A 24,878-nucleotide genomic window follows, 5' to 3' on the forward strand; every position below is an offset into this window, starting at 1 on the left:
CCTGGGAGGTCAAGGCTGCAGTGAGCCATGATCGGCTGCTGCACTCCAGCCCTGGTGACAGAGTGAGACTCTATCCCAAATAATCCTTTTAAAAAATGGCGATCTAAAAATATACACGGCCAGGTACAGTGGCTCATGCCTGTAATCCCAGTACTTTGGGAGGCCAAGGTGGGTGGATCACCTAAGGTCAGGAGTTCGAGGCCAGCCGGACCAACATGGTGAAACCTCATCTCTACTAAACATACAAAAAATTAGCCGGGCATGGTGGTGGCAAGGGTTAGGGATCACTAAAACACAGCTACTTGGAGGCTGAGGCAGGAGAATCGCTTGAACCCAGGAGGTGGAGGTTGCGGTGAGCCGAAATCACGCCATTGCACTCCAGCCGGGCAACAACAGTGAAACTCCATATCAAAAAAATAAAAATAAAAATAAAACTATACACTTATAGAAGAAAATTTAGGGGGACATTTTTGTGATCTTGGATTAGGCAAAGATTTCTTAGATATGATACCATCCATAAGATTAAAAAATGGAAATATTGGACTTACTCAAATATTTTATTTATTTATTTTTATTTTATTTATTATTTTTTTGAGATGGAGTTTTGCTCTTGTTGCCCAAGCTGGGGTGCAATGGCCCGATCTCGGCTCACTGCAAACTCCTCCTCCTGGGTTCAAGCAATTCTCCTGCCTCAGCCTCCTGAGTAGCTGGGATTATAGGCTTGCACCACCACGCCCAGCTAATTTTTTTGTATTTTTTAGTAGAAATGGGGTTTCACCATGTTAGCCAGGCTGGTCTTGAACTCCTGACCTCAGGTGATCTGCCCGCCTCAGCCTCCCAAAGTGTTGGGATTACAGGCGTGCGCCACCGCGCCCAGCTAATTGTTTTGTATTTTTAGTGGAAACGGGGTTTCACCATGTTAGCCAGGCTGGTCTTGAACTCCTGACCTCAGGTGATCTGCCCGCCTCAGCCTCCCAAAGTGTTGGGATTACAGGTGTAAGCCACCATGCCTAGCCTTCAAAAATTTTAAATTCTGCTGTGTGAAAGATTCTGTAAAGAGAATGAAAAGACAAGCCACAGGCCGGTCGCAGTGGCTCACACCTGTAATCCCAGCACTTTGGGAGGCCGAGTTGGGTGGATCACGAGGTCAAGAGATCGAGACCATCCTGGCCAACATGGTGAAACCCGTCTCTACTAAAAATACAAAAATTAGCTGGGTGTGGTGGCATAGACCTGTAATCCCAGCTTCTCGGGAGGCTGAAGGGCTGAGGCAGGAGAATCGCTTGAACCTGGGAGGCATAGGTTGCAGTGAGCTAAGATAGCGCCACTGCACGCCAGCCTGGCGATAGAGCAAGACTCTGTCTCAAAAAAAAAATAAATAAATAAAATAAAGAAGAAGGAAAGACAAGCCACAGATTGGGAGAACATATTTGTAAATCACATATCTGATAAGTATCACCTGCAAAATCTCCTCTCATTCCCCCTTCTAGACACTGCTCTCTCACCCCAAAGGGTAGCTGCTATCCTGGCCTTGAACAGAATATTTTTGCTTGTCTTGTATTTTATCCACATGAAATCAAACATAGTACTGTGGTCTGGCTTCTTTCACTTAACATTATTTGTGAGAATCATCTATATGGTTGAGTATGGTATGTTATAGGGCACAAAAGGCGTAAGGGACAACAAACATTTTGCAAAGAATTTTTAGCACCACTGAGTTTTCTGTCAAGATGATAGCTAGCCATTATCTTGAAAACTAGGTGATGGACTGGATCTAATGGAGCACATGGATGAATCTGAGCACTGCAAGGGATGGTCTGGGAGGTTTTGTACCTTTCCTTCCATCCTCTCAGCCTTCCCAATGGGCAAAGCTTTTGAAAACAATTCAGTGAGGGCTTCAATTCTCCTTGTATCTTTCTCTCTGTTCTGGAGCTTTTCCTAAACCATAATGTAGGATACTGGTGAGTGCCTACCCAGAAGTGCAAGGGAAGTTGATGCCTCCTGGGGAAATCCAAACCAATGGAGGATATAAACCAAGGGTTAAATGCTTCTCTGGCAGTCTTTTGGAAGACCATAATGAGAGGCATTACAGAACTCAGATGGGGAGTCTCTGAGCCCGCTTTGGTTCAGGAGGCTGCCCAATTTAAAAAAAAAGAAAAAAGAAAAAAAGAAAGAAAGAAAGAAAATTATCAGATGGGCTTGGTAGGATCCAGCCCCAGGTGCCCACAGCAGTGAACACCTTGTTAATACATCCTTGTGTTGGCTTTTTTCCTCTTCCTATTTTATTCTGGACTTTTACTTTAAATCCCTGGGATCACCTTCTAAGTAAATTACCTGTAACTAACACCTGTCTTAGGTTCTACTTTCTGGATGGAATCTTTTTTTTTTTTTTTTTGAGACAGAGTTTTGCTCTTGTTGCCCAGGCTGGAATGCAATGGTGCGATCTTGGCTCACTGCAATCTCCGCCTTCCGGGTTCAAACGATTCTCCTGCCTCAGCCTCCCAAGTAGCTGGGATTACTGGCACCCACCACCATGCCCAGCTATTTTTTTTTGTATTTTTTTAGTAGAGATGGGGTTTCACCATGTTGGCCAGGCTGGTCTCGAACTCCTGACCTCAGGCGATCCACTCGCCTTGGCCTGCCAAAGTGGTGGGATTACAGGTGTGAGCCACTGCGCCCAGCCTCTGGACGGAATCTTAAGATGTGTGCAAAATATCTGCTACATGGTAGGTATTCAAGAAAAAATAGCAGTTTTATTATTACTACTATTACTGCTACTACTGTTCCCACTGTTATTATTACCTAGGATTTCAAGTTGCCATCCATTAGTCCTCTTCCCTGAAACCATGGATGATATTGAAGCTCTACAATAGAGTTTCGTTTGTTTTGTTTTTTGTTTTTTGAGATAGAGTCTCACTCTTGTCACCAAAGCTGGAGTGCAGTGGCGTGATCTCGGCTCACTGCAACCTCTGCCTTCCAGGTTCAAGCAATTCTCCTGCCTCAACCTCTATTCTTTTTTTTTTTTTTTTTTTTTTTTTTGAGACGGAATCTCACCCTTGTTGCCCAGGCTGGAGTGCAGTGGCGTGATCTCTGCTCACTGCAACCTCCGCCTCCCGGGTTCAAGTGATTCTCCTGCCTCAGCCTCCTGAGTAGCTGTAATTACAGGTGCCTGCCACTACACCCAGCTAATTTTTTTGTAGTTTTAGTAGAGACGGGGTTCCACCATGTTGGCCAGGCTGGCCTCAAACTTCTGACCTCAGGTGATCCACCTGCCTCGGCCTCCCAAAGTGCTGGGATTACAGGCGTGAGCCACTGCGCCCAGCCTACAATAGAGTTTCTGTGGCAAAATAATTTTGTCTTTTTCCTGAGGGTACTGGAAAGCCATTGATGAATTTTCTTTCTTTTAAACATTTTTTCTACTGTACTATTTTTCGGATTTAGTGAAGTATAATTGATGAGCAATAAAATGAATTTTTTTTTTTTTTAGACAGGCTTTTGCTCTGTCACACAAGCTGGAGTGTAGTGGCATGATTTTGACTCATTTTGTGATACGCTACCTTGTTTTAACCTGAGTGACTCTCTCCTAGCAGAAAGAGAGCCAGACAGACTCCATTTTAGTTTCTTCACTTGTAACCCCTTTCACCTCCCTCCAGGCATAGCTAGTGTAAATCTGACTCAAGGCATGTCCAGGAATGCACCTGTTGATAAGATGGTGAGGCAAGCTGCACCAGCAGTTCCTGGGGGTGTGCGCGGTGGATGGCACCCAACACCCCTGCGTTTATCTCTTTGTGATAGCTTAAGTTCCTGCACCTGGAACTGTTTATTTTTTTGTAACTGCATTTGTAACCAATTAATTTTTTAACCTTTTGCCAGTTCTGCTTCTGTAAAAATTGTTTCAGTTAAAAGCCCCCCACCCCTATTTAGACCAAGGTATAATAACTAACCTAGCCCCTTCCTCGGGGCCGAGAGAATTTTGGGCATTAGCTGCCTCTCGATTGCCGGCTAATAAAGGACTCTTTAATTTGTCTCAAAGTGTGGCATTTCTCTATAACTCGCTTGGTTACAACAATTTCAACCTCCACCTCCCAGGCTCAAGCTATCCTCACAACTAAGTCTCCCAAGTAGCTGGGACTACAGGTGCCCATCACCATACCTGACTAATTTTTGTTTTTTTTTTTTTTTTTTGAGACAGAGTCTCGCTCTGTCACCCAGGCTCTGGAGTGCAGTGGCGCAAACTCGGCTCACTGCAAGCTCTGCCTCCCATGTTCATGCCATTCTCCTGCCTCAGCCTCCTGAATAGCTGGGACTACAGGTGCCCGCCACCAGGCCTGGCTAATTTTTTTGTATTTTTAGTAGAGATGGGGTTTCACTGTGTTAGTCAGGATAGTCTTGATCTCCTGGCCTTGTGATCCACCTGCCTCGGCCTCCCAAAGTGCTGGGATTACAGGCGTGAGCCACCGCGCCCAGACTAATTTTTGTATTTTTTTTTTTTTTGTAGAGACAGGGTTTTGCCATGTTGTCCAGGTTGGTCTCGAACTAGTGAGCTCAAGCGATCTGCCTGCCTTAACCTTCCAAAGTGCTGGGATTACAGGCAGGAGCCACTGCACCCAGCCTTGACGAGTTTTGATATATTTATACAACCTTGAAACCATAACCATACACCCTTGAAACCATAACCACAATCAGGATATTAAAAAAAACCTGCCAAACCAGTTTCCAAAGCGGTTTTATCACCTTAAAATGGTACCATCAGTGTATGAGAATTGTTGTTGCTCTACATTCATGCTAATACTTGGTATTGCCAGTCCTTTCAGCCATTCTGGTGGGTGTGTAGTGTAATCTCATTGCGTTTCCTTTTTTCCCCCCAACATCTTTCATGTTATTTGCCATCCATTTAGTTTCTCTCTTTGGTAAATTGTCTCTGCTAATTGTTTTTCAAATTGGGTTGTTTGTCTTCTTGTTGAGTTGAAATAACTCTGTATATTTCCAGGTAATGGTTACATGTTTTGCGCAATTTTACTCTGATCTGTGGCTTGTCTTCATTTTCTCTCTCTTTCTCTCTTTTCTTTCTTTCTTTCTTTCTTTTTTTTTTTTGACGGAGTTTTGCCCAGGCTGGAGTGCAATGGCGCAATCTCTGCTCACTGCAACCTCAGCCTCCTGGGTTCAAGCAATTCTCCTGCCTCAGCCTCCCAAGAAGCTGGGATTACAGGCATGCACCACCACATCTGGCTAATTTTTTTGTATTTTAATAGAGATGGGGTTTCACCATGTTGGCCAGGCTGGTCCTGAACTCCTGACCTCAGGTGATCCACTCGCTTCAGCCTCTGAAAGTGTGGGGATTACATGGGTGAGTCACTGAGCCTGGCCAGCTTATCTTTCTTTTCTTTTTTTTTTTTTTTTTTTTGAGACGGAGTCTCGCTCTGTCGCCCAGGCTGGAGTGCAGTGGCACAGTCTCCGCTCACTGCAAGCTCTGCCTCCCAGGTTCACACCATCCTCCTGCCTCAGCCTCCCGAGTAGCTGGGACCACAGGCGCCCACCACCACGCCCGGCTAATTTTTTGTATTTTTAGTAGAGACGGGGTTTCACTGTGTTAGCCAGGATGGTCTCGATCTCCTGACTTCGTGATCTGCCCACCTCGGACTCCCAAAGTGCTGGGATTACAGGCGTGAGCCACCGCGCCCGGTTTTATCTTTATTTTCATAACAGTCTTGACTAAAGTTTGAAATTTTGATGATATACAATTTATTCAATTTTTTTCTTTTCTTTTCTTTTCTTTTTTTTTTTTTTGAGACGGAGTCTCGCTCTGTTGCCCAGGCTGGAGTGCAGTGGCAAGATCTCGGCTCACTTGCAAGCTCTGCCTCCCGGGTTCACGCCATTCTCCTGCCTCAGCCTCCCGAGTAGCTGGGACTACAGGAGCCCGCCATCGCGCCCAGCTAATTTTTTGTATTTTTAGTAGAGATGGGGTTTCACCGTGTTAGCCAGGATGGTCTCAATCTCCTGACTTTGTGATCCACCTGCCTCGGCCTCCCAAAGTGCTAGGATTACAGGCGTGAGCCACCACGCCCGGCAATTTTTTTCTTTTTAAAATTTATTTATTTATATTTTAGAGATGGAGTCTCACTGTGTTGCCCAGGCTGGTCTTGAACCCATGGTCTCAACCAGCCCTCCAGCCTTGGCCTTCCAGAGTGCTGGAATTACAGGCATGAGTTATCATGTGTAGCCTATTAATTTAAAAAAATATATTTTTTAATTTTATTTTTGAGACTGAGTTTCCCTCTTGTAACCCAGGCTGGAGTGCAATGGTGCGATCTCGGCTCCCTGAAACCTCCGCCTCCTGGGTTCAAGCGCTTCTCCTGCCTCACCCTCCTGAGTAGCTGGGATTACAGGGGTGGGCCATCACGCCCAATAAATTTTTGTATTTTTTTTTTTTAAGACGGGATCTCGCTCTGTTGCCCAGGCTGGAGTGCAGTGGCGCGATCTCAGATCACTGCAAGCTCTGCCTCCCGGGTTCACGCCATTCTCCTGCCTCAGCCTCCCGAGTTGCTGGGACTACACGCGCCCTCCACCACGCCCGGCTAATTTTTTGTATTTTTAGTAGAGACAGGGTTTCATTGCGTTAGCCAGGATGGTCTCGATATCCTGACCTCGTGACCCGCCCGCCTCAGCCTCCCAAAGTGCTGGGATTACAAGTGTGAGCCACCGTGCCCGGCCAATTTTTGTATTTTTAGTAGAGATGTGGTTTCACCATTTTGGAGAGGCTGGTCTCGAACTCCTGACCTCAGGTGATCTACCAGCCTCAACCTCACAAAGTGCTGGGATTACAGGCGTGAGCCACCGTGCCAGGCCAATAAATATATTTTAAATATTTTTTTGAGACAAGGTCTCCCTCTGTCGTCCAGGCTGGAGTGTAGCGACACCATCACAGCTCATTGCAGCCTGGACCTCCCCAGCTCAAATAATCCTCCTATTTCAGCCTCCTGAGTACCTGGGACTACAGGCACGTTCCATCATGCCCAGCTAATTTTTAAAATTGTTTTTGTAGAGATGGGGCCTCACTCTGTTGCCCAGGCTGGCAGGCTGGTCTCAAACTCCAGGGCTCAAGGGATCCTCCCGCCTTAGCCTCCCAAAGTGCTGGGATGAGAGGTGTGAGCCACTGCACCCGGCCAATTTTTTTTTCTTCTTTTTTCTTTTTCTATTGAGACAGGGTCTTGCTCTGCTGCCCAGGCTGGAGTGCACTGGTGCGATCTCGACCCCCCAGGCTCAAGTGATCATCTCACCTCAGCCTCCCACGTAGCTGGGACTACAGGAGCTTGGCACTAGGCCCCGGATAATTTGTTTGTTTGTTTGTTTGTTTGTTTTGCGACGGAGTCTTGCTCTGTCGCCCAGGCTGGACTGCAATGGCAAGATCTCGGCTCACTGCAACCTCCGCCTCCTGGGTTCAAGCGATTCTCCTGCCTCAGCCTCCTGAGTAGCTGGGATTACAGGCATGCGCCACCGCGCCTGGCCAATTTTTTTAATTTTATGGATAGTGTATTTGAAAAGTCACATCGATTTTTCTCCTGGAATGTCCTCTAGATGTGCCGTAGCTTCAAGTTTTACATGTAGGTCTAATTTAGGTTGTGTGATACAATGGGTTTGCATTTAGAAGGGTCCTCTGGCAGCAGCAAGGAAGGTTTTCGGAGGGTGATAGCCTAGGGCCTGAAACTACTGAGACTTGGAGAGAAGTGATGGTGGCTTTCACTAGGTGATAGTAGTGAAGGATATCGAAATGAATTAAAATACTGGGGATGTAGAATGACTGGACTTAATGGCTTGAGGGAAGTGTCCAGAATGATTCCTGGGTTTCTTACGCACAACACTGAGGGTAGATAACTTGCTTGTACGTTTTTTGCACTTCAAATTGGTCCTCAATAAATAGTTTTTCCTTTGGGGAGGTTATGATTGAAATTTGGCCAGTCAGGGATACAGTTTTCTCAAACAACACTCTTGTATCAGTTCCCTTTTTGGGTACTGCCTGGAGCCCAGTATTGAACCCTGTCCTCCCAAGCCCAAAGACCTTTGCCTCCCATAGTACCAGGAAAGGTGCCCAAGTTCTTTTACACACAAGGTGCGCAGAGCGGCCAGCGCATGCCCAGAGAGGTCGTAAGGAGGACGACCGCCCGGAGAGAAAGGACGCACGCTTCCCGCCATTTTGTTCAGCTTGCCGGGCAACCGGCCCCTGCTGGGGACTACAAGTCCCGTAAGCCTCCGCGGCGGCACGTCCTACCCTACACTGTCCAGCCGGCTCCCTTTTTCCCCCTCCCCGGGGGCCAAGGGCTCCGGCTGCTGCCTGGCGGCCAACGGGCCAGGTAGGATTTCCGGGAGAGGCTGCTGTGGAGGCTGAGGAGGCGGCGGCGGAGATCTGGGTAAGTTCAGCGAGCAAGGGAAAGTGAGCAGGACGCGCTCAGTATCAGGCTGCGGCCTCCTCTCAGGCTGCGGCCCCTTTCTTGGCTCTGCGAGAGGGTCCCGGTCCGGGCAGAAGGTAACGGCCCGGGTCGCCGTCGCTTCGGGCCAGGGCGGGGCGGGGCCGCCGCCTCCCTCCTCGGCCCTCCCACAACGGTCCAACCCGGGCTTCTCCGCCTGAGGCAGGGCCCGCGCAGGCTCGCCCTCTCCGCCCCCCGAGACTTGGCTGGGCCCTTTTGTCTGGGCTGCGTTGCTCCCCCTTTGTGTCCGTGCATGGAGTCTCCGCCACGGGGGAGCCTGTTCCCCCGGTCCCCAACAGGGACTGCTCCCTGGGGATCCGGTTACAGTAACCGGATCGGGTCAAAGTACATTTTTCAAAACCGTCCTGCCTCAGACCTCTGCACCCCTGCTGGGCAGAACGGGGGCTTCGGAGCCAGGCGGAGTTTCTGTAAAAACCTGGAGGTTATTATTTAACTTTCAAACATCAGCCTGGGCGGCTTCAGGGCACGAAACTCCCGACGTTTTTCTTGGTGGAGAGATGAGATTAAGGAAAAGAAGCGACCCCTCTCTCCCACCCTCTACACCCCGGCTCCGGGAAACCGGGAAGGCATCGAATTTGCTGCGATGTCTGTGCAGCTCACATCTGTGATCGGTGGACCAAAGAACCAGTGGTGAATGGTAGAATGGCAGTTCACGCACCTCCCAAATCTCGGAGGAGAGTGACTTACAGGGCATCACTGATTGCTTGCAAAAAAAAAAAACCCTCCAGTGCTTCATTCGGACACTCAGCTCCTCGCTCCTTCCAACCTCTTCCTTTTCTTGTTCTTTTTAAAACAAACAGTGGAAGGAAAAAGTCCTTCAGTGGAAGAATTTGCTTTATAGAGGAACCAGAAACCCAGTGGCTTCTAGAAGTCACTTACTTTTTCGCCAAATTAAAGAAATGAATTTCGGGCGTGGTGGCGCGCGCCTGTAATGCCAACTATTCTGGAGGCTGAGGCAGGAGAATCGCTTGAGGCCAGAAGTTCGCGACCAGCCTGGGCAACACAGCAAGACCCCATCTTAAAAAAAAAAGGAATGAAGCCCGTTTAGAAATGAAGCCAGTTTAGGGGATGAGGTGTGGTAGATTCTTACCGGAAACCGCGGAACTGCGTGGATTGTGGATTCGATCAAATTTGGCTAGATAATGGTAACTGTGTATGTCCTCCTGTTGGAAGACTGCATTGCTAGAATCAGCTTAAGGTAAAATTTGTTTGTTTGTTTCATTTAAGAGACAAGAGTCTAGCTTGGTTGCTGAAGCTTGAGTACAGTGGAGAGCTCCTAGTTCACTGTAGCCTCGAACTTCTTGGCTTAAGCCATCCTTCCACCAGAGGCTCCCAGATGCCTGGGACTAGAGGCATGAGCCACTGTGCCCGACTATTTAATTTAATTTATTTATATTTATTTATTTATTTTGAGACAATCTCACTTTGTTACCCAGGCTGGAATGCAATGGCACGATCTTGGCTCACTGCAACCTCCACTTCCCAGGTTGAAGCGATTCTCCTGCCTCAGCCTCCTGAGTAGCTGGGATTACAGGTGTGTGCCACCATGCCCAGCTAGTTTTTGTATTTTTGGTAGAAACAAGGTTTCACCATGTTAGCCAGGCTGGCCTTGAACTCCTAACCTCAGGTGATCCACCCGCCTCGGTCTCCCAAAGTGCTGGGATTACAAGCGTGAGCCACCGTGCCTGGCCAATTTTTATGTATTTATTTTTTGAAATAGGGTCTCGCTGGGTTTCCCAGGCTGGAGTGCAGTGAGTTGAGCACTGCTCACTGCAGCCTGGACCTCCTCCTGGGCTCAAGCCTCTGCCTCCAGAGTAGCTGGGACAACAGACACAGGCCACCAGCGCAGCTAATTAAAAAAATTTTTAAAAAAATTTTTGTATTGATTGGGGTCCCACTCTGTTGCCCAGGCTGGTCTTGGACTCCTGGGCTCAAGTGATCCTCCCTCCCAAAGTGCTGGTATTAAACCTTAAGATAAAGAATACTGTATTTGTTTTTTGAGATAGAGTCTTGCTCTGTTGCTCAGGCTGTGCAGTGGCGTGATCTTGGCTCACTGCAACCTCTTCCTCCTGGTTTCAAGCGATTCTCCTGCCTCAGCCTCCCGAGTAGCTGGAATTACAGGCATGTGCCACCACTCCCGGCTAATTTTTTTTTTTTTTTTAGTAGAGATGGTGTTTCACCGTGTTGGCCAGGCTGGTCTGGAACTCCTGACCTAAAGTAATTTACCTGCCTCCGCCTCCCAAAGTGCTGGGATTACAGGTGTGAGCCACCGTGCCTGGCCAATAAAAAATTCTAAAGAAGGTCATTGCAAATAACCCTTTTGAAAAATAGGTTAATTCGTGTTTCAAGTCTCTGGGATGAGGACAGCCAGGAGGACCCCTTTACATGAATCAGGGAAGGTTACTGAAGTTAGATAGGTTAATTCCTGCCCTAGCCGAGTAGGCAAAATAAAGCCCTTCACCCTGTATTACTTTGTTTGATATCTCATAATGGAAGTGACTTACTCTTGAGAATCCTAGATTGTATTAGTAATACTGTATAGGGATGGTAGATCCTTAATGCAGTTCTTCAATTTTTAATCCAGCAGTGAGTGAGGGTCTTTTGTGTTTTCCTGGCTATAGTTTGAAGAAGCAACCACAGAATTGCTCTAGTTTTAATAATAAACTGGTTGGGCGCGGTGGCTCACACCTGTAATCCCAGCACTTTGGGAGGCTGAGGCAGGCAGATCACCTAAGGTCAGGTGTTCGAGATCAGCCTGGCCAACATGGTAAAATCCCATCTCTACTAAAAATATAAAAATTAGCCAGGTGTGGTGGTGGGCATCTGTAATCCCAGCTACTTGGGAGGCTGAGGCAGGAGAATCACTTGAACCTGGGAGGCGGAGGTTACAGCGAGCTGAGATTGCGCCACTGCACTCCAGCCTGGGCGACAGAGGGAGACTCAGTCTCAAAAAAAAAAAAAAACACAGAAATAATAAACTAAGAAACAGCAGTTACTATTGACTATTGCTTAATTGTACAAACATGACAATTTTCTCAATATTATTTATTTTTATGATTATTATTATTTTTTTGAGGCAAGGTCTTGTTCTGTCCCCCAGGTGGAGTAAAATGCTATGATCATGGCCCACTGTAGCCTCAACCTCTTGGGCTCAAATGATCCTCCCACTTCAGCCTTCTGAGTAGCTGGGACTACAGGTGCACACTACCACACTTGGCTAATTTTTTAATTTTTTTGTGGACACGAGGTCTCCCTGTGTTGCCCAGGATGGTCTTGAACTCCTGGACTCAAGCAGTCCTCCTACCTTAGCCTCCGAGAGTGCTGGGATTATAGGCGTGAGCCAGTGTGTCTAGCTATATATTTATTCATTTATTTTGTTTGTTTTAAACATAATTTTTTTTTTTGAGATGGAGTTTCACTCTTTTTGCCCAGGCTGAAGTGCAATGGCACGATCTTGGCTCACTGCAACCTCTGCCTCCCGGGTTTAAGTGATTCTTCTGCCTCAGCCTCCTGAGTAGCTGGGATTACAGGCATGTGCCAACATGCCTGGCTAATTTTGTATTTTTAGTAGAGACGGGAATTCACCATGTTGGCCAGACTGGTCTTGAACTCCTGACCTCAGATGATCCGCCCACCTCAGCCTCCCAAAGTTCTGGGATTACAGGCGTCAGCCATCACGCCTGGCCCATAATTTTATAATTTTTATAGAGACAGGTCTCGCCATGTTGCCCAGCCTGGTCTCAAATTCCTTGGCTCAGGCGATCCTCTCACCTCAGCCTCCCAAAGTGCTGGGATTACAGGCATGAGTCACCATGCCCGGCCTCCCAGTACCATTTTTTAAACAAATTAATACACATTGTGTCATTTAATCCTCACTACAGTTCTGTGAGATGGTTGTTACTCTCATTTTACAGCTGATAAAGCCTAGCCTCTAAAATGTTGAAGTGACTTGCCCAAGGTTATAGTTAACCCAGGTAGGAAATATCAGAGTAAACCATACTTCAAATCTAGTCCTCTTTCAGTTACCTCACACTTATTACAGCTACTAATCTTAGCAGCACCAACAGCTTTAATTTGCTAAAATCTAAATATTGGAGAAAATGGAAAATATTTTCCAATTAAGGCAAATTGATTTACAAGGAACTGGAATTTCTGGAACCATAAACAATGAGTCTTTCTCTTAAATTATATTGAACATTGGTCCCATTACTTTGTCTTCTCATATGCTGTGATTACCTTGTGCCTAGGCAGAATGGCAGTTTTATGCAACGCTCAAAAAGTGGTGAGTTACTCAGTTTTGGTTCCCCCTAATCTTTGCTATAAGGTTTATTAAATATGTTGGAGAACATAAATACAATAGCTTTGGCTGCTGAAACTAACATTGAAGACAGAACCAAAATTAAGATACTGTACTTTTTTAGTCAGACCATCGGGACTCAAGAGAATGCTCTCTCTAGTTTCTGCTTTTAATAAAAACTTTTAATCAGTTTCAAACCTGCAGTTAAGTCTTGGATTTATGTTAGTACATGCCATGAATGTGACATCAGAAACAGAAACCTATTTCACCTCCCTTACTTATTAGGTAAAATGCATAACATGCCAATGGAATTGAGTCAATACAATTATGTAGTCTAGCCTTTCTAACTGGTAGTAGCCTGTTTGAAATCTTTTATTATTGCATTATAATGGGAAAGAACTTTTTTTCCTTGTGCTTTTGCTGTTGGTTTACTTCATTTCCAAAACCATCTGTTCATTCAGTCAACAAATACGGAAAGTCTGTTATATTCTAGGCACTGTTGTAGACATTGAGGACAAAACAGTGAAAACAAGTATTTTCCCTCTTGGGGTTTACCTACTGATTAGGGTTGGCTGGGAAGAGGAAGGAGTCTGACAGTAAATAAGCACTAAATAAATAAAATTCCCTCATATAACTGCAACCTTGAGCAACTCAACCTCTTTGAGCTTTAGTTTTCTTGTCTTTAACATGGATGTAATTGATTCCTGCTCTTCCTATCTTGTGGATTGTTTCTAAGAGGGAGTAGAATAAGTATTTGGATACATTATTCGCTTCAAATTCCTGTAGCAAGTTATTTTTACTACTATTAGAAGAAGAGGCCCAGCACGGTGGCTCACGCCTGTAATCCCAGCACTCTGGGAGGCCAAGGCAAGCAGATCACTTGAGGCCAGGAGTTCGAGACGAGCCTGGCCAACATGGCGAAACCCCATCTCTACTAAAAATAAAACAATTAGCTGGGGGTGGTGGCCCATGCCTGTAGTCTCAGTTACTTGGGAGGCTGAGGCATGAGACTTGCTTGATCCCAGGAGGCAGAGGTTGCAGTGAGCAGAGATTGTGCCACTGCACTTCAGCCGGGGTGACAGAGCAAGATTCCATCCTCCCACCACCCCTGCCCGCCCCCACCCACCCCCCCAAAAAAAAAACAAAAGAAAAGAAAACAAGGAGCATTGGAAGAAGATTATTTATAAAGAGAGAGGCTGGGCCCAGTGGCTCATGCCTGTAATCCCAGTGCTTCGGGAGGCTAAGGCAGGAGGATCACTTTATGTTTATCCCAGGAGTTTGAGACCAGCCTGGCAACATAGCAAGACTTTGTCTCTACAAAAAAAAAAATTAAAAATCAGCCAGGCATGGTAGTGGACATCTGTACTCCCAGTTACTCAGGAAGCTGAGATAGGAGGATCACTTGAGCTCCACGGTTTGAGGCTGCAGTGAGCTATGATTGTGCCACCACACTACAGCCTGTGTGGCAGAGCTGGAGACCCTGTTTCAAAAAATAAGTAAATAAGTAAAATAGGAAAGAGAGAAGGGAATGGATGGATTCTTTATTCTGAGGGAGCTCTAAAGTCCTGTTGTAAAACTTTCACAATCGGCCAGGCGCGGTGGCTCACGCCTCTAATCCCAGGACTGTGGGAGGCCGAGGTGGGTGGATCACCCGAGGTCCAGAGTTGGAGACCAGCCTGACCAACATGGAGAAACCCCGTCTCTACTAAAAATACAAAATTAGCCAGGCGTGGTGGTACACGCCTGTAATTCCAGATACTTGGGAGGCTGAGGCAGGAGAATGGCTTGAACTCGGGAGGCGGAGGTTGCTGTGAGCTGAGATCACACCATTGCACTCCAGCCTGGGCAACAAGAGCGAAACTCCATCTCAAAAAAACAAACAAACAAACAAAAAAAACTTTCACAGCCGTGTCTTCACAGGGGCTACCATAACCAAATTATGTAGACCTTTTTCTTTTCTCTTCTTTCTTTTTCTTTTTTTTCACTGCTGTGGTCCCAGCTACTCAGGAGGCTGAGGCACAGGAATCACTTGAGCCTAGGAGGTGGAGGTTGCAATGAGCCAAGATTGTGCCACTGGACTCCAGCCTGGGTGACAGAGTGAGACCTTGTCTCAAAAAAAAAAAAAAATTGAGACAGAGTCTTACTCTGTCACCTAGGCTGGAGTCCAGTGACATGATCAGGGCTCACTGAACCCTTGACCTCTCTCCCAGGCTCAAGCACTCCTCCCACCTCAACCCCCTGAGTAACTGGGACTACAGGCATGCACCACCATGCCTGGCTAATTTTTTCTTTTTTTTTTTTTTCTTTTAGTAGAGACAAGGTCTCATTATGTTGCCCAGACCAGTCTTGAACTCCTGAGCTGAAGCGATCCACCCGCCTTGGCCTCCCAAAGTGCTGGGATTACAGGCGTGAGCCACTGCGCTGGGCCTATGTAGACCTTTTAATTTTTTTTTTGAGACGGAGTCTTGCTCTGTCGCCCAGGCTGGAGTGCAGTGGTGCAATCTCGGCTCACTGCAAGCTCCACCTCCCGGGTTCACGCCATTTTCCTGCCTCAGCCTCCCAAGTAGCTGGGACTATAGGCGCCCACCACCACACCCGGCTAATTTTTTTGTATTTTTAGTAGAGACAGGGTTTCACTATGTTAGCCAGGATGGTCTCAATCTCCTGACCTCGTGATCCACCTGTCTCGGCCTCTCAAAGTGTGGGGATTACAGGCGTGAGCCAGCGCGCCCGGCCTTAATTTTTTTTTGAAATGAGTTTTGCTCTTGTCACTCAGGTTGGAGTGACAGTGTGATCTCAGCTTACTGCAACCTCTGCCTCCCGGGTTCAAGCGATTCTCCAGCCTCAGCCTCCCAAGTAGCTGGGATTATAGGCGCTCACCACCATGCCCGGCTAAATTTTGTATTTTTAGTAGAGACAGGGTTTCGCCATGTTGGCCAGGCTGGTCCTGAGGTTCCAAACTCCTGAACTCAGGTGATCCACCTACCTTGGCCTCCCAAAGTGGTAGGATTACAGGCGTGAGCCTCCGCACCCAGCCTTTTTTTTTTTTTTTTTGTAGACGGGAGTCCTGCTCTGTCACCCAGGCTGGAGTGCAGTGGCGTGAACTCAGCACACTGCAACCTCCGCCTCCTGGGTTCAAGTGATTCTCCTGCCTCAGCCTCCTGAGTAGTTGGGGTTACAGGCGTGCACCACTATGCCCTGCTAATTTTTTTTTTTTTTAGTAGAGATGGGGTTTCACCATGTTGGCCAGGCTGGTTTTGAACTCCTGACCTCAAGTGATCCGCCCGCCTCAGCCTCCCAAAGTGCCAGGATCACAGGCATGAGCCACCACACCCAGCCCATCAAAGCTTTTTGAAATGATCTGTAGGCCAGGAGTGGTGGCTGCGGCCTGTAATCCTAGGATCATGAGGCCACAAGGTGGAGTTCAAGACTAGCCTGGCCAACATGGCAGAACCCTGTCTCTACAAAAACTACAAAAAAGTTAGCTTGGCATGTGGCACGCTTCTATGAGTCCCAGCTACTCTGGAGGCTGAGGTGGGAGGATTGCCTGAGCCTGGAAGGTTGAGGCTGCAGTGAGCCGTAATTGCGCCACTGCACTCTAGCCCAGGTAGACAGAGTGAAAGACCATCTCAAAAAAAAAAAAAAAATTGCTTACTATCTTGATGGTTGGTGAGAGGGTTTAGAGAAGGTATTTATGTACTTGTTAAAAATTTTTGGCCAGATGTGTTGGCTCACGCCTGTAATCCCAGCACTTTGGGAGGCTGAGGCGGGCGGATCACGAGGTCAGGAGATTGAGACCATCCTGGCTAACACGGTGAAACCCCGTCTCTACTAAAAGTACAAAAAATTATCCGGGCATGGTGGTGGGTGCCTGTAGTCCCAGCTACTCGGGAGGCTGAGGCAGGAGAATGGCGTGAACCTGGGAGGCACGGCTTGCAGTGAGCCAAGATTGTGCCACTGCGCTCCAGCCTGGGTGACAGAGCGAGACTCCATCTCATAAAAAAAAAAAAAAAAAATTTGGCCAGGCGCAGTGGCTCACACCTGTATTCCCAGCACTTTGGGAGGCTGAGGCGGGTGGATCACCTGAGGTCAGGAGTTCGAGACCAGCCTGGCTAACATGGTGAAACCCCGTCTCTACTAAAAAAAAAAAAAAATTGGCTGCGTGTGGTGGCAAGTGCCTGTAATCCCAGCTACTCAGGAGGCTGAGGCAGGAGAATCCCTGAACCCGGGAGGCGGAGGTTGCAATGAGCCAAGATCATGCCATTGCACTCCAGCCTGGGTGACAGAGTGAGACTTCATCTCAAAAAAAAAGAAAAAAGTTTTTTTTTTAACCATTTTTTTGTTTTTCTTTCTTTCTTTCTCCCCCCAGCCCCCCCCCCCTTTTTTTTTAACAACCCAAGGGCACAAGGGGGAAAAAATAGAGGAAGTATTTAGAATGTTTTGTTTTGTTTTGATTTTAAGGATGGGAGAGGTTTGACATGTTTGAAGGGAAAGGGAAAGCAGCCAGCAGAGAGGCAGATATTGGAGATGTGCACAGAGAAAATGTAGATAATGAAGAAGTCTTAGGAGGAAATAGAATGAAAAGCTCATGAAACAGTAAACTTTGAAGAGGAATATGAAGAAATAAAGGGTGAGAGAAGATATATTTGGAAGTGGTGGACATGGAAGGTGAAATAAGAGTAGTTGTTACCAGTTGATTACTGTTATTACCCAGGCACTGATCTAGGTTTATTTATTTTTATTTTTATTTATGTATGTATTTATTTTTTTAAGACAGAGTCTTGCTCTGTTGCCCAAGCTGGAGTACAGTGGCACAGTCATGGCTCACTGCAGCCTCAACTCCCCTGCTGGGCTCAAGCAATCTTCCTGTCTCAGCCTGCTGAGTAGCTGGGACTACAGGCATACCGCCATGCCTGGCTAATTTTTGGGTTTTTTGTAGCGATGGGATTTCGCCACATTGCCTAGGCTGGTCTTGAACTCCTAGGCTTAAGCGATCTTCCTGCCTGGGCCTCCCAAAGTGCTTGAATTACACGCATGAGCCACCATGGCCAGCCTATAATTTCTTTCTTTCTTTTTTTTTTTTTTGAAACAGAGTCTCAGTCTGTCACCCAGGCTGGAGTGCAGTGGTGCGACCACAGCTCACTGCAACCTCTACCTCCTCAGGCTCAGGTGGGTGATCCTTCCACCTCAGCCTCCCGGGTAGCTGGGACTATAGGTGCGGGCCACCACGCCAGGCTGATTTTTTAAAATTTTTGTAGAGATGGGATTTCGCCATGTTGCCTAGGCTGGTCTTGAACTCCTGGTCTCAAGTGATCCATCCACCTTGGCCTGCCAGAGTGCTAGGATTACAGGTGTGAGCCCCTGTGGCTGGCCCTGGCCTATAATTTCTTTTCTTTTTTTTTTTTTTGAGATGGGGTCTCGCTCTGTTGCCCAGGCTGGAGTGCAGTGGCACAATCTCGGCTCAGTGCCAGCTCCGCCTCCCGGGTTCACGCCATTCTCCTGCCTCAGCCTCCCGAGTAGCTGGGACTACAGGCGCCCGCCACCACACCCGACTAATTTTTTGTATTTTTAGTAGAGACGGGGTTTCACCGTGTTAGCCAGGATGATCTCGATCTCCTGACCTCGTGATCCGCCCGCCTCGGCCTCCCAAAGTGCTGGGATTACAGGTGTGAGCCACCGCGCCCAGCCTATAATTTCTTATATTCCATAATTGTAAAATTATTTTTCCATAAGTGGAGTAAATATTATATTCTCAACTTGTGTTTCTATTATCAACTTTTTTTTAACTTTTGGACAGACTAATTTAGATGTGTGGGATAAAAATGTTATTCTGTGTTTTTTTAAATGTAACTTTTTTTTTTTTTTTTTTTTTTTGAGACGGAGTCTCGCTCTGTCGCCCAGGCTGGAGTGCAGTGGCGCGATCTCGGCTCACTGCAAGCTCCGCCTCCCAGGTTCACGCCATTCTCCTGCCTCAGCCTCCCGAGTAGCTGGGACTACAGGCGTCCGCTACCACGCCCGGCTAATTTTTTGTATTTTTAGTAGAGACGGGGTTTCACTGTGTTAGCCAGGATGGTCTCGATCTCCTGACCTCGTGATCCGCCCGCCTCGGCCTCCCAAAGTGCTGGGATTACAGGCGTGAGCCACCGCGCCCGGCCTTAAATGTAACTTTTATGTTCAGAGATATATGTGCATGGTTTGGTATACAGGTAAACTTGTATCATGGAGGTTTGTTGTGTATATTATTTTGTCACTCAGGTATTAAGCCTAGTGCCCATTAGTTATTTTTCCAGATCCTCTCCCTGCTCCCATCCTCTACTCTCCAATAGGCACCAGTGAGTGTTGTTCCCCTCTGTGTCCATGTGTTCTCATCATGCAATATTTGGAACATGTGATATTTGTTTTTCTGTTTCTGCATTAGTTTGCTAAAGATAATGGCCTCCAGCTCCACCCATGTTCCTGCAAAGGACATGATCTTGTTGTTTTTTATGGTGGCATAGTATTGCATGGTGTATACATACCACCTTTTCTTTATCTAGTCTACTTTTGATGGGCATTTAGGTTGATTCCGTGTCTTTGCTGTTGTGAATAGTGCTGCAGTGAACATATGTGTGCATATGTCTTTATAATAGAATGATTTATATTCCTTTGGGTATATAACCAGTAATGGGATTTCTGGGTTGAATGGTATTTCTAAGTCTTTGAGGAATTGCCACACTGTCCTCCACAATAGTTGAACTAATTTATACTCCCACTGACAATGTATAAGCATTTCTTTTTCTCCACAATCTCGCCAGCATTATTTTTTGAATTTTTTTTTTTTTTTTCCGAGACAGAGTCTTGCTCTGTCACCCAGGCTGGAGTGCAGTGGAGTGATCTCGGCTCACTGCAGCCTCTGCCTCCCGGGTTCAAGCAATTCTCCTCTCAGCCTTTCCAGTAGCTGGGATTACAGGCCCACACCACCACGCCCGGCTAATTTTTGTATTTTTGTAGGGACAGGGTTTCACCATGTTGGCAGTCTGGTCTTGAAATCCTGACCTCGTGATCTGCCCGCCTCGGCCTCCTAAAGTGCTGAGATTACAGCCGTGAGCCACTGCGCCTGGCCTTTTTTTTTTTTTTGAGACGGAGTCTTGCTCTGTCACCCAGGCTGGAGTGCAGTGGCGTGATCTCAGCTCACTGCAACCTCCGCCTCCCGGGTTCAAGCGATTCTCTTGCCTTAGCCTCCCGAGTAGCTGGGACTACAGGTGCATGCCACCACGCCTGGCTAATTTTTTGTGTTTTTAGTAGAGACGCAGTTAAACCATGTTAGCCAGTATGGTCTCGATCTCCTGACCTCGTGATCCGCCCGCCTCAGCCTCCCAAAGTGCTGGGATTACAGGCATGAGCCACTGCGCCTGGCCTGGCCTATTTTTTTACTTTTTAATACTAGTCATCCTGACTGGTATAAGATGGTATCTCATTGTCATTTCGATTGGCATTTCTCTAATGGTCAGTGATGTTGAGCTTTTTTCATATGATTGTTGGCTGTATGTATGTCTTCTTTTGAAAAATGTCAGTTCATGTCCTTTGCCGACTTTTTTCTTGTTTCTTTTTGAGACAGAGTCTTGCTCTGTTGTCTAGGTTGGAGTGCAATGGCACAATCTTGGCTCGCTGAAACCTCTGCTTCCCAGCTTCAAATGATTCTTGTGCTTCAGCCTCCTGAGTAGCTGGGATGACTACACCACCACGCCAGGCTAATTTTTGTATTTTTAGTAGAGATGAGGTTTCAACATGTTGGCCAGGCTGGTCTCGAACTCCTGGCCTCAAGTGATCCACCTGCCTTGGCCTCCCAAAGTGTTGGGATTACAGGCGTGAGCCACTGCGCCCAGCCCTTTGCCTACTCTTTAATGGGGTTGTTTAGTTTTCTTCTTACAAATTTGTTTAAGTTCCTTGTAGATGCTGGATATTAGACCTTTGTCAGATGCATAGTTTGCAAAAATTTTCTCCCATTCTGTAGGTTGTTTGTTCACCCTGTTGATAGTTTCCTTTTCTGTGCAGGAGCTCTTTAATTAGACCCCATTTATCAATTTTTGCTTTTGTAGTAATTGCTTTTGGTGTCTCTGTCATGAAATTTTTTTTTTTTTTGAGACAGAGTCTCCCTCTGTTGCCCAGGCTGGAGTGCAGTGGCACGATCTTGGCTCACTGCAAGCTCCGGCTCCTGAGTTCACTCCATTCTCCTGCCTCAGCCTCCCGAGTAGCTGGGACTACAGGCGCATGCCACCACGCCTGGCTAATTTTTTGTATGTTTAGTAGAGACAAGGTTTCACCGTGCTAGCCGGGATGGTCTCGATCTCCTGACCTCGTGATCCGCCCGCCTCAGCCTCCCAAAGTGCTGGGACTACAGGCGTGAGCCACCGCGCCCGGCCTATCATGAAATTTTTGCCCATTTTTATGTCCAGAATGGTATTGCCTAGCTTGTCTTCCAGGGTTTTTGTAGTTTCGGGTTTTACATTTAAGTCTTTAATCTGTCTTAGGTTAATTTTTGTATATAGAGTAAGGAAGGGATCCATTTTCAATCTTCTGCATACTAGCCAGTTATCCCAGCACTGTTTATTATTATTAATTTATTTATTTTTAGACAGAGTCTCGCTCTGTTGCCCAGGCTGGAGTACAGTGGCACGATCTTGGCTCACTGCAACCTCTGCCTCCTGGATTCAAGTGATTCTCCTGACTCAGCCTACTGAGTAGCTGGGACTACAGGCCCCGCCACCATGTCTGGCTAATTTTTGTATTTTCAGTAGAGACAGGGTTTCACCATGTTGGTCAGGCTGGTCTCGAACTCCTGACCTCAAGTGATCCACCCACGTTGGCTTACCAAAGTGTTGGGATTACAGGCATGAGCCACCGCGCCTGGCCTCGTGCACCATTTATTGAATGGGGAATTCCTCATTGCCTATTTTTGTCTGGCTTATCAAAGATCAGATACTTGTAGGTGTGTGGCCTTTATTTCTGAGTTCTCCATTCTGTTCTATTGGTCTATGTGTCTTTTTTTGTACCAGTACCATGCTGTATTGGTTACTGTAGCCCTGTGGTATAGTTTGATGTTGGATAGCATGATGCCTCCAGCTTTGTTCTTTTTGCTTAGGATTTCCTTGGCTCTTTTGGTTCCATATGAATTTTAAAATAATTTTTTTTTCTAGTTTTATGAAGAATGTCAATAGTATTTTAATAGGAATGGCATGGAATCTATACATTTCTTAGAGCAGTGCGGCCCTTTTAACAATATTGATTCTTCCTATCCATAGGCATGGGACGTTTTTCCATTTGTTTGTGTCATCTCTGATTTCTTTGAGCAGTGTTTTGTAGTTCTCTTTGTAGAGATCTTTCACCTCCCTGGTTAGCTGTATTCCTAGGTATTTGTGTGTGTGTGTGTAGCAGTCGTGAAAGGGATTGTGTTCCTGATTTGGCAGTCAGCTTGACTGTTGTTGAGGTATAGGAATGTTAGTGATTTTTCACGTTGATTTTGTATCCTGAAATTTTGCTGAAGTTGTTTATCAGCTTAAGGAGCTTTTGTGCTGAGACCATGAGGTTTTCTGGATACAGGGTCATGTTGTCTACAGACAAAGATAGTTTGACTTCCTCTCTTCCTATTTAGATGCCCTTAAATACCTACTTCATTGAATTTTTAACGTGCAGTGGTATTGAATTTTATCGAAAGCCTTTAATGCATCTGTTGAGATAATCATGTGGTTTTTGTCTTTAGTTCTGTTTATGTGATGAATCATATTTACGAATTTGCATATGTTGAACCAACCTTGCATCCCAGGGCTAAAGCCTACTTGATTGTGGTGGGTAAGCTTTTTGATGTGCTGCGGATTTGATTTGCCAGTATTTTGTTGAGGATTTTTGCATTGATATTCATCAAGAATGTTGACCTGAAGTTTTCTTTTTTTTGTTGTGTCTCTGCCAAGTTTTGGTATCAGGATGATGCTGGCCTCATAGAATGAGTTAGGAAGGAGTCCCTCCTCTTCATTCTTTTGGAATGGTTTCAGCAGGAATGGTACCAGCTCTTCTTGGTACATCTGGTAGAATTCAGCTGTGAATCCATCCGGTCCTGGGCTCTTTTTGGCTGATAGGCTATTTATTACTGACTCAGTTTCAGAGCTCGTTATTGGTCTGTTCAGGGATTCAATTTCTTCCTGGTTCAGTCTTGGGAGGGTGTATGTGTCTAGGAATTATCCATTTTTTCTAGATTTTCTAGTTTATGTACATAGAGGTGTTCATAATATTATCAGATGGTTATTTGTATTTCTGTGGGGTCAGTGGTAATAGCCCCTTTTCATTTCTGATTGTGATTATATTTGAATCTTCTCTCTTTTTGTCTTTATTAGTCTAGCTAGCAGTCTGTTGTATTACTTTTTTCAAAGACCCAACTCCACCAGGCGCAAGGGCTCATGCTTGTAATCCCAGCACTTTGGGAGGCCAAGGTGGATGGATCCCTTGAGGCAAGGAGTTTCAGACCAGCCTGGCCAACATGGCAAAACCCCATCTCTACTAAGAATATAATTAGCCATGCATGGTGGTGCACACCTGTAATCCCAACTACTTGGGAGCCTAAGGCATGAGAATCGCCTCAACCTGGGAGGTGGAGGTTGCAGTTAGCCAAGACTGCACCTCTGTGCTCCAGCCTGGACAACAGAGTGAGACTCTATCTCAAAAAATAATAACAAATAAATAAATAAAATAAAACAAAAAACCCAAATCCCTCCTGGATTTGTTGATCTTCTGAATGAGTTTTCAGTGTCTCAATCTCCTTCAGTTCAGCTCTGATACTGATTATTCTCTTTTGCTAGCTTTGGGATTGATTTGCTCTTGGTTATCTAGTTCTTTTAGTTGTAATGTTAGGTTGTTAAATTGAGATCTTTGTAACTTTTTGATGTGGATACTTAGTGCTCTAAATATCCCTCTTAACACTGCCTTAGCTGTGTCCCAGAGATTCTGGTATGATATATCTTTGTTTTCATTAGTTTCAAAGAACTTCTTGATTTCTGCCTTAATTTCATTATTTACTCAAAAGTCATTCAGGGCCAGTAACAGTGGCTTATGCCTGTAATCTCAGCACTTTGGTAGGCCGAGGCAGGTGGATCACCAGAGGTCAGGAGTTTGAGACCAGCCTGGCCATCATGGTAGAACCCCATCTCTACTAAAAATTCAAAAATTAGCCAGGCATGGTGGTGCATGCCTATAGTCCTGGCTTCTTGAAAGGCCGAGACAGGAGAATTGCTTGAACCTGGAGGCGGAGGTTGCAGTGAGCTGAGATCGTGCCACTGCACTCCAGCTTGGGCGACAGAGCAAGACTCTGTCTCAAAAAAAAAAAAAAAAAAGTCATTCAGGAGCAGGTCATTCAATTTCCATGTAATTGTATGGTTTTAAGTGAATTTTTTTTTTTTTTTTTTTGGAGACGGAGCCTCATTCTGTTGCCCAGGCTGGAGTGCGGTGGTGCGATTCCAACTCACTGCAACCTCCGCTTCTGGGTTCAAGCGATTCTCATGCCTTAGCCTCCCGAGTAGCTGGGATTACAGGTGTGTGCCACCACGCCCAGCTAATTTTGTATTTTTAGTAGAGACAGGGTTTCAGCATGTTAGCCAGGCCGATCTTGAGCTCCTGACCTCAGGTGATCCGCCCTCCTTGGCCTCCCAAAGTGCTGGGATTACAGACGTAAGCCACCACGCCCGGCTGGTTTTAAGTGAATTTCTTAGTCTTAATTTCTAGTTTGATTCCGCTGTGGTCCAAGAGATTGTTTACTATGATTTCAGTTCTTTTGCATTTGCTGAGAAGTGTTTTACTTCCGATTATGCAACCAATTTTAGAGTATATGCCATGTGGCAATGAGAAGAATGTGTATTCTGTTTTTCATTTGTTTGTTTGTTTTTCTGAGACAGAGTCTTGGTGTGTCACCCAGGCTGGAGTGCAGTGGTGCGATCTCGGCTCATTGCAGCCTCCACCTCCCAGATTCAAACAATTCTCCTGCCTCAGCCTCCCGAGTAGCTGGGACTACAGGCATGTGCCACCAATCTTAGCAAATTTTTGGACTTTTAGTAGAGACAGGGTTTCACCATGTT

The 24,878-nt window shown here is 46.2% G+C and overlaps 1 protein-coding gene across 5 annotated transcripts in view, besides 3 other annotated features; it reads left to right on the top strand.

The window, feature by feature from the left end:
• Positions 7,492-8,447: an enhancer, noted in NCBI's record as "H3K27ac hESC enhancer chr1:28695423-28696378 (GRCh37/hg19 assembly coordinates)". NCBI's record gives its function as "activates a minimal SCP1, AML or CMV promoter by ChIP-STARR-seq in primed H9 embryonic stem cells {active_cell/tissue: H9 hESC(primed)}" and the evidence as "EXISTENCE:reporter gene assay evidence [ECO:0000049][PMID:30033119]".
• Positions 8,098-8,392: an enhancer, noted in NCBI's record as "tiled region #70; HepG2 Activating DNase unmatched - State 1:Tss, and K562 Activating DNase unmatched - State 1:Tss". NCBI's record gives its function as "activates a minimal TATA promoter and a strong SV40 promoter by Sharpr-MPRA in HepG2 and K562 cells {active_cell/tissue: HepG2 | K562}" and the evidence as "EXISTENCE:reporter gene assay evidence [ECO:0000049][PMID:27701403]".
• PHACTR4 (phosphatase and actin regulator 4) overlaps positions 8,320-24,878 on the top strand; it is a 130,625-nt gene continuing 114,066 nt past the window's right edge. For all 5 annotated transcript variants that reach the window (NM_001350159.2, NM_001350160.2, NM_001350161.2 and 2 more), the window contains exon 1: positions 8,320-8,405. The gene's annotated coding sequence lies outside the window, so the exon portion shown is untranslated. The remainder of the gene's footprint in view (positions 8,406-24,878) is intronic.
• Positions 8,474-8,693: a silencer, noted in NCBI's record as "silent region_538". NCBI's record gives its function as "represses an Ori minimal core promoter by ATAC-STARR-seq in GM12878 lymphoblastoid cells {active_cell/tissue: GM12878}" and the evidence as "EXISTENCE:reporter gene assay evidence [ECO:0000049][PMID:35858748]".

The sequence above is a fragment of the Homo sapiens genome, chromosome 1, assembly GCF_000001405.40.
Source record: "Homo sapiens chromosome 1, GRCh38.p14 Primary Assembly".
NCBI classification, from domain to species: Eukaryota; Metazoa; Chordata; class Mammalia; order Primates; family Hominidae; genus Homo; species Homo sapiens.